This window comes from Homo sapiens, chromosome X, assembly GCF_000001405.40.
Source record: "Homo sapiens chromosome X, GRCh38.p14 Primary Assembly".
In the NCBI taxonomy this organism is placed as follows: Eukaryota; Metazoa; Chordata; class Mammalia; order Primates; family Hominidae; genus Homo; species Homo sapiens.
Genome location: NC_000023.11, coordinates 139197203 through 139205822, shown reverse-complemented (window position 1 = coordinate 139205822; position 8620 = coordinate 139197203). Strand labels below are relative to the sequence as shown.

Here is an 8620-nt window from a genome sequence, read left to right as displayed (position 1 = left end):
AGAACAATTCTTGAGCAGTTTTCCTTCTAGTTCTAATCTTCAGGGACCTTCTCTGGGTTTTGTCACAAGTATTCCTCAGGCAACGTTTCAATCCTACTTATTCCTCTTCAGCACTCGCCCCCAGTCCCACCTCACCCGTTTGCCTGGGATTGGCCATCCTGGGCGGTGGGCACTCTTTGCTTCCAGTTTACCAACAAGAGCGACCAGCCCTAGGAGGAGGGGCCTGCGTGTGGGGGTGGGGGTGGGAGGTGGCAGCCGCCGCGGTCAGTTTCACTCTCTGACCTACTGACACCCAGATCCCAGAGAGCCCTTCTCTCCCCACTGAGAGCCGGACTGTCTCAACTTGAGCAGCTAGCCAGAAGCGAAAAGTCGTCGACTCCCGGACTGAGATTCCACTGCTCGGTGCGAGCAGTTGCCAACAGGGGAGTCCCCAAAGTGTAGGTGGCGACCAGCACGGGCCTGGGAAAGCAGGCGCTAGGAGTAGAGGAGTTACAGGGGCCGGGGTGGGGGGAGCGCCGGCCTTCCATCTCCTTGGCCAACGGTGGGAGCCCGCTACAGTGGCACCCGCGGGCCCTCCCTGCCCCGGAGGGGCCAGGGTACGCCCAGCAGACACGCTCGCCCGCACTACGCGGGGCTCGCCGGGGTTTTGCCAACCGGCGGCTGACGTCGGCGCGCCCCTGCCGAGCTCTCCTTTTACTACAGCGGGCAGGCGGCTTTGTGAGGCCCCGCCTTCGCCAGCCCCCACCCTCCGCGTGCCCACACCTTGCCGTTTATATAGAATGCGCCGCGGTGTTGATTCGTGGCTCTCTAGGACCGGAGAGTTCTTTGGAAGGAGAGCGCGAGCGAGGGAGCGGGCGAGCTCCGAGGGGGTGTGGGTGTAGGGAGAGAGAGAAAGAGAGCAGGTAAGGGCCATCGTCTCCCACTCCTCCGCCGGCGAGCAACTCCGGCCCCCTTTTTGGCAAAATAATAGGAACCTGGAAATGGATTAAATAGAAAGAAAGAAAAGAGGCGACCCTCTCCTCCCCATTCCCCGCGGGCGAGAAGCTGCGCGACTCTGCGGTGTAACAGGCTCACACGTTGCTCATCACATGTTCAAACATTTCCCTTTCAGGGAGGCTTGTTATTTTTAAGTGAATATTTTTATCTTTGTTTTGATTTTTTAAAAAGCCTTCCTCGGGGTTTTATTTTGATCGAGTTGGCGGCCCGCAGCGGATTGGGAGAGGCGGGGGAAAGCAGCCTGCCAGTGCGCGGGCAGCCCACCCAGGCAACTCCCAGCGAGCGGCCCGCGCGGAGCCCAGGGAGGCCGGCAGTGAAGCCGGGGAGTCCCGGCCGCTCCTCTCGGCCGCCCCGGGGGTTGCGAGCGTGGCTCTCCGCAGGCGGGCAGAAGCTGAGGGCGCGGGGCGCGGAGGAAGCGCCGCGCCGCTTTGTCTCTTCACTTCTTGAGCGCGGCGAGCGGCTCCTCCCGCGGCCGGCCGCTCGGGATCGCGGCGGCGGCGGCGGCGACGGCGGCTCCTCCTTCACCCCTTTCCTTTCCTCCCCACTCTCTCGTAGGCAGCGGCGGCGGCGGCAGCGGTGGGGAAAAGCGGATTCCGCCCCGAACCACACCGAGGGGAGCTCGTGGTCGAGACTTGCCGCCCTAAGCACTCTCCCAAGTCCGACCCGCTCGGCGAGGACTTCCGTCTTCTGAGCGAACCTTGTCAAGCAAGCTGGGATCTATGAGTGGAAAGGTGACCAAGCCCAAAGAGGAGAAAGATGCTTCTAAGGGTAAGCCCGCCCGCCGAGTCCGCCTGCTTTCCTTTCCTTCGTTTCCCTCGCCCCCTCGCGTGCGCGCCGCCCTCCGGCGGCTCCTTGCCTCCTTCCCGGAGCCTAAGCTGCCCATGACCTCTGCGACCCCGGGAGAAAAGGGGGGGCAGAGGTCGCTAGGGGGTGGATCTAGGTTTGCACCACTTTCCCTCCTTCCTCGCGGAATTGTCGACCCTCGAGTGCCTCCAGCCTCCTCCACTTCCCCTCTGGACGCACGGTGGTGGCGCTGCGGGCAGACGAAGCTGCTGCAGCCTGGAGCGCCGGGAACCGCGCTGTCTGCTGACAGCCGGCCGCCTGTCTGTATGAGTGCATGTGTGTGCGTGTGCGCGAGTGTGCATATGTGTGCTGCGCGCGTGCAACATGGTGACATACTCAGGAATCTGCCCTGCTGTCAGAACCCAAGCTTGAACCCACCTTCAGCCCCCTCTCCCCGCCCCCAATGCAAACAAAGAGCCTGGTCGAGACGCAGAACCCCTCCCCCCTCCTTTCCCACCACCTCCTTCCCCCCCCCCGCCACCCGACACCTCCTAATCCTAAACTCCTTATCCACCCCAACCCTCCGGGAAGGCAGGAGTTTGCACCCTTCGACACGCCGCGTGCAAAGGTGAGCAACCCTGGTGCCCTGGCGCCGCCCGCGCTGCGCTTTGGCAGCGCAGCCTCGCCAAGCCCCAGGAGAACAAAGGCTGATGTCCCCTTGTCACTAGTGCCCAGCGTGAGTGGGCCTCCGCGGGAGGGGGCAGTCCTCTTCCTCTGTTTGCTGGGGTTCAGCCACCGCGCCCGGGGCACCCGACCACTGGTCCCCCTGGAGTGCGCGCCTCTGCCCAGGGCCTCCCATCGGCGGGTTGGGGAGGCGCAGCAAAGCGGTGCTCAGGCTGGGGAGAACTAAGGCAAAGGCAGGGGACGCCCCCCCACCCTTTGCCGGTTCTAGCCGTTGCCTTTCTCAGGACCGGGATTAGCTCCAGAATGTAAACTGGAGACAGCAGCCTTGGAGACCGGGGTGCGGAGAGGCACAGAGAGGGAATATGGAAGAGCAGTGGGGAACAGCAGGTGCCTTAGGTGCAAGTGTCCGAATGGCCACGGAGCAGACGCTGGAGTGGGCTGGACTAGCCCTGAGGGCCCCAAGCACACTGGACCGCAGCGACCCACGCCGAGTCCCCACTGCAGAAGTGAGGTTGCAGCGCAGGGAGTCCCAGCTTTTGTTCATGGGGGCCCCAGTTCCTTCCTGAGCCCTCAGGCCCCCTTCACTCCCACTCCTTTCTCTATTCCTTGTTCTCCTCTCCTCCTTCTCGCCTCTCCCCATCTCTCAGAGCTTTCTTTCCCGGGAGATTCTAGGGCAGCACCAGCCCTCCCCCGCGGAAAGTTGTCAAAGTCTTCAGCTCAAGGCCTTTATCCTTGTTTCTAAGTGGAGCCATTTCTCCCCCAAATAGGCGAAAGGGTGACTGAAGGTTCCGGAAGTTTGTGGAGGGGTTAGATCCGTTGTCATACGGGTCATTGTTGCCCCCGGTCTGGCTCAAGGCTAGCATTCAATCCCAAGTGAAAGAGTAACTTTGGAAAGTAGAACGACAGCTGTAGGTTTCCAGAGCTCCCCTAATTGTTGAGTCTCAAACAGGCATTTATATGATAAAGGAAAATGACTTCAGGGTCATTAAATCGTTTTGTTTTCCACTGAGGGCCCAGAGAAGTAAATGTAATTAAAGAATGTAGCACCAGATTGATCTAGGCACGTCATTCCCCTGTTGAATCTGGGAGTATTTCTCGTTTGTTTCTGGAACTTTGGTTCCTGATTTCCATCAGGTGGTTACTTCAGGTTTATTTCAGGCTACCGTTGGGAGACCCTGAAACCAAATTCATTCACAGAAAATGAGTTTCTGTTCTGTTTATAATTTGCAGTTGTCCAGAATGGATTAACGCATCTGGAAACAGGACAGGTTTCTGTAATTCAATAATACAAATTTGTACTAGGCATGTGTCATAACATTTTCTTGTGTTGACTCACCACATTTGAAACCACATACCTCTGTAGGAATTGAGTAATTAGCACTTGAAATTATGGCTGTAATTAGAATAAATTAATTTTACAAGGCAACTTTTAAGAAGGGAGTTTACTTCCCCGAGAAGATGGGAAGCTTTTGGCTGCTAAGAGCAAGATTGCCATTTCAGCCTTTCTGTTCGTTGTTGAATTTAGAGCATTTTCAAAATATTAAGTGTGTAGTAGCCATTAGTATTTTCTTCTTTCAAGTATATGAAAAGTCTTATGTGACCAAATTTTAAAGACTACTTTTTATATTAGAGATGAAAGGTACAAGGTCTACTTATCTTTTAATCAATAGAGTTTATATATGTTGACCATATTTCTGAAGAGTTTTCCTTACTTACAAATTTCCTATATATAGGTCATCTTTAATTTTTTTAAGCTGAAAAACTAATTGGCATATTCTTTGTAACATAGCAAGATATAGGATCAAGCATTTCATAGATACCTTGAATATACACACATTTAATTTTGAACAATGGTGTGACAGATGATTGGATGAAATCAAATAATTTAGTAACAGTTTGAATGAATTTCATAATCTGTTTTCAGAGTCTACTGCTCATTTAAATTCAGCCTCCCACCCCCATCAGTTAGGGCTCATACCCACAGTGTATCATAACTACATCAATTATTATAGAGTACAGTGTTTCCAGAGCTTTTAAAGCACAGGTAGTAGGTTTCCAGTAAATTATTTTGTGCTGCTGAATGAAATATGGCCTTAAGAGTACATAAATTGCTGATTGTCTTTTTAAATGACATTTTCTTCAACTCACTGAGGTTAAGACCAGTGATGGACACTGATCTTTTTCATAACCTTTTCAAAAATGTAGCCAGACAAGATAGGCTGTTCTGTTTGGAAAGGGGGCGGGGACCTTGATTCTGTTTGAAACTATTAAAAAGGCCTCTTGTGCAGCCAGTCGCCTTTTGTGTATTTATTTATGCTTTGTATAAACTTTAAAATTGGCAGATGTGTATATAGTTTGAGTCACGCGGCTCTTGGACCGGAGGATCTGTTTCCATTTCAGGGAAGAAGAAAGCATAATATTTGTTTGTTCAAGCAGATATTCTCTTAGCTTTGACTCACTCTTCTCTACCTTGTCACATAAGATCTTTTCAGCAGTCTTCTGTTGGAAAAGCACTCAGTTAAGGCTGTTTCTGGTTTGTTGCAACAGTTTTCCTGTGGCATCGGAAATCTTGTAGGCTGCTATAGATAAAACCAAATCTTTTTTGGATTAAGTAAAAATGCTAGCTAATTCTCGCTTTCAAAACTGTCTTTAGGTTTGTGGCTACATGTTTGGAGTTGGGTGTGTTCTTTTCAACAACCCTTTCCTTTGTGCTTAGCTTAACAGCCACCATATCCAGGCAAGTTTCAAGGCTCTGTGGGCTGTGGGTTCTCTTGGTGAGACAGCACTGTTGTCAGGCTGGGCTCATGCTGGCTGCTGGACAATGGAGGACAATTCCATGCATAGCCCAAGAAGCCAGCCACTTGTACAGCTGCTGTTGTAATGGGTAGTAGTGGCCCCATGCATTTACACCACAGTTCGTTTTTTGTTCACTTCCTGGCCCTTTCCAATAGTCTTTCTATCCTATCCTACTGAAGAAGGACAGGTCACTGTGGTCATGCAGCCAGCATATCTAGGCTTGAGTCCTGAATGCCTTCCAAAAGATCATCTTGATCATTGTGGTTTACTATAATAGGTTTCATCAAGTGTCTTTCTCAGACTTGGGCCAGGCAAAAGCAGATGTTTAGAGGTATTTTACCGACAAGAAATTATGAGGTTGGTGACCTCTTATTAAGAAGTAACAGTGATCATCTGTCTATTACTCATGTAGGGACTTGTTTTTTTCACTCTGACATCATGGTCCCATGGTTTTACATACAGTGTCATAAGCCACACGGTCTTTTCTGTGCTGAAGGAGGTGATCATAGCCTTGCTAAGGAGGTGTGACCAGGGAGATCTCTAATCAGAAATATTGGTCTGTTCTTGGGGATAGGTGGAGAAAATGAGTGCACATTATACCCAAATCCTCTTCATAATTATTTGTAGCAGCGTGTAGCTTCTTTATTGACAAAGGCTAAAGCTAGAAGGGGGAGCAAGTTGAGGCATGGGTTAGGGGTACTGTATCTTTTCTCTAGCTTAGTACTGCTTCCTCTAAGCCTCTTTTCAGCACAGTTCAAATAATTTAAAGGGCTTAGTATGTGTCCTAGGTCTGGAGATGTGGGTGAGGTTGGAGTGGGAATGGATGTTGAATTGGGGCCTGGGTAAGAAGCAGAGGGTGAGCTGTGGGGCGAAGGAAGGAGTTGAGGTCTATGCCCACAGCAGGGAGATTTTATGGGTGGCTTTGAGGACAGGGTCAGGACTGGGGAGAGAATTGGAATCAGGGAGAGAATTTGAATCAGAATTGGATAAGCCAGAGGGCTGATTTGTAAGGCGGTAAGTAAGGATATGAAACAGCGTTCCAGGTCTCTTTGCAGCTGTGCTGTTTTATGTCCAAATCAACTTCTTATTCTGGGAATTACAATCAACATAGAACAACCAGAATGTGTTGCAGTTCTTCAAATATATCCAATAAAAAGGCTTTCTAGTGTCTGCTTCAGTATGACTTATATTTTTGGAGTTGAGAAATTTGAAAAGAATGGACAATAATTGTCAAGATTAAGCAATTGAAGGAGGGGGGAAAAACCATGTGCATTAGAGTAGATGAAGGGGATCCTACATGTCTATTACCTTGCTCAGCTAAACATTATCTTTGAAATGTGAAGACTAGGCACATAATATAGTTTTAGCAATTAGTACAGAACACAAATGTCTGCATAACTCATTTTCTGCAGTCACTGATTTATGTTTCCCTATCAAGAAGACACATCATCACCATGATATATCAGCACAGGCTGAAGAGTGGATTTCAGGCTCATTGTCCTGTGTAATGTGGGTCATCTTAGTTAGTTTTCATCAACTTGAAATGTAGGTTATCTATTTGTAATATACCAGCTCTACAAACTTAGTTGAATCTTATTTCTGACATTTTTTAACATGGCATTTTATCACTTTTTTGAATGTCATATATTGATGAAACATTTCCTAAGAGTGTGGGTTTCCCGGTAAATGCATTAATTTCCTAAAGAAGTGAAATAATATTTAGTAGTCATTATGACCACCACTCCAGGCCTTAGATCCGATTTCTCCTTGAATTGGATGGCCATTTTTTTCCTTTAAAGCAGTGTTTTCCAGAGTATTAATTCTGAAAATGGTGGGGGAGGGGTTATTAGAAAAGAAATAAATTCTTGATTCTTAGGGCACAATGGATATATGAAGGACTATTAAGGGATCTGAGTTGTAATAAATATTAAGTCTAAATTACAATGACTGTTTATTGTGATTACTGTAAAGCAGTTCTCATGGCTGATCTTGCCTCTGCCCTTTGAAATTACTTTTAGCATTGATTTTCAAATAGAAATAGTACTAGTGTCACGGGCTAATGACCTTCCCCACAGGCAAAGGCTTCTGCTGGTGTAGGGTTGTGGTTGACATTCTAGGGAGTACAGTAGGGCTGTCCAGAGCTAAGTTGCTTGCTTGGCCTGCCTGCAGAGACATCAGATTTGGTCTGGACAATCACTCTTTGGCCTAAAGGAATCCCTAGTTGTATATGTCTGTCCTTTATTTTGTGGTTCCTGTAAGTAGGGCTGGGAAGAAAGAAAAGAATCTTCTGGTGAAAGGCAGGCCAGTCAAAGGCCAAATTAGAAAAGAAAAACAGTAAAACTCAATTTCCTTTTTTTGTAATTGAAATTTACCTGTAGTAACATGTACAGATCTTAAGTGTGCATCTCAATGATTTTTGAGAAATATTTACATCCGTAAAATCAACACCAAAGTCAAGATACAGAACATTCTTGTCACCCCAGAAAGTTCTTTCATGCCCTTTTCTAGTCATTCCCCTCACCTAAAGACAACTCTTATTTTATTCTTTTTTTTTTTTTTTTTTTTTTTTTGAGGTAGGGTCTCAATCTGTCACCCAGACTGGAGTGCAGTGGCACAATCTCCGCTCACTGCAACCTCCGCCTCCCAGGTTCAAGTGATTCTCCTGCCCCAGCCTTCCTAGTAGCTGGGATTACAGGCACACGCCACCACCGCCCGGCCAATTTTTTGTATTTTTAGTAGAGATGGGGTTTCACCATGTTGGCCAAGCTGGTCTTGAACTCCTGACCTCAAACGATCCACCCGCCTCGGCCTCCCAAAGTGCTGGGATTACAGGCGTGAGCCACTGCACCTGGCCTCCTATTTTTATTTCTATCATCATCTATTAGTTTTTCCTGTATGCACTCTTTGGTTTCTGACACACCTAGCCACCTCCCCATCCAACACTCTTCATCCCCTGTTGATAACCCTTCTTGTCTTGTCCTCTGGTTTCTTGGAAGACTCCCACCGTGCCCCACACTGGGGCATTCAATAGAATCTTAGACATGGTTAGTCTTCTAGGAGTAGTTGTTGAATGACCTGGGAAAGATAGGGAAATCCTTTAAGCAGAGGTATGTTTCATTCATCCTTTAATAGCAAATAACAATAATGAACATTGCTGTCTTTATAATAGTAGCCTCTAAATTATTGAGCAGTTACTATTTACTAGGCAAACATTATTTTTACATATATCTAATTTAATCCTGACAGCCAAATGAAGTACAGTAGCTCTTAGTACATACAGACTTTAGAGATGAGAAAATTGAAGTTCATGGAGATCATGTAGCTTATATGAAGTCACACCACTAGTGGTTTGCAAATTACT

The 8620-nt window shown here is 48.2% G+C and overlaps 1 protein-coding gene across 3 annotated transcripts in view; it reads left to right on the top strand.

Moving 5' to 3' along the window:
- The first annotated feature begins 799 nt into the window (after nucleotides 1–799).
- The window catches only part of FGF13 (fibroblast growth factor 13), a 590297-nt gene continuing 582476 nt past the window's right edge, over nucleotides 800–8620 (top strand). For all 3 annotated transcript variants that reach the window (NM_001139498.2, NM_001139500.2, NM_001139501.2), the window contains exons 1-2: nucleotides 800–902; nucleotides 1552–1764. In NM_001139498.2, coding sequence (NP_001132970.1) covers nucleotides 1716–1764 — 49 coding nt within the window. In that variant the 5' untranslated portion in view covers nucleotides 800–902; nucleotides 1552–1715. The remainder of the gene's footprint in view (nucleotides 903–1551; nucleotides 1765–8620) is intronic.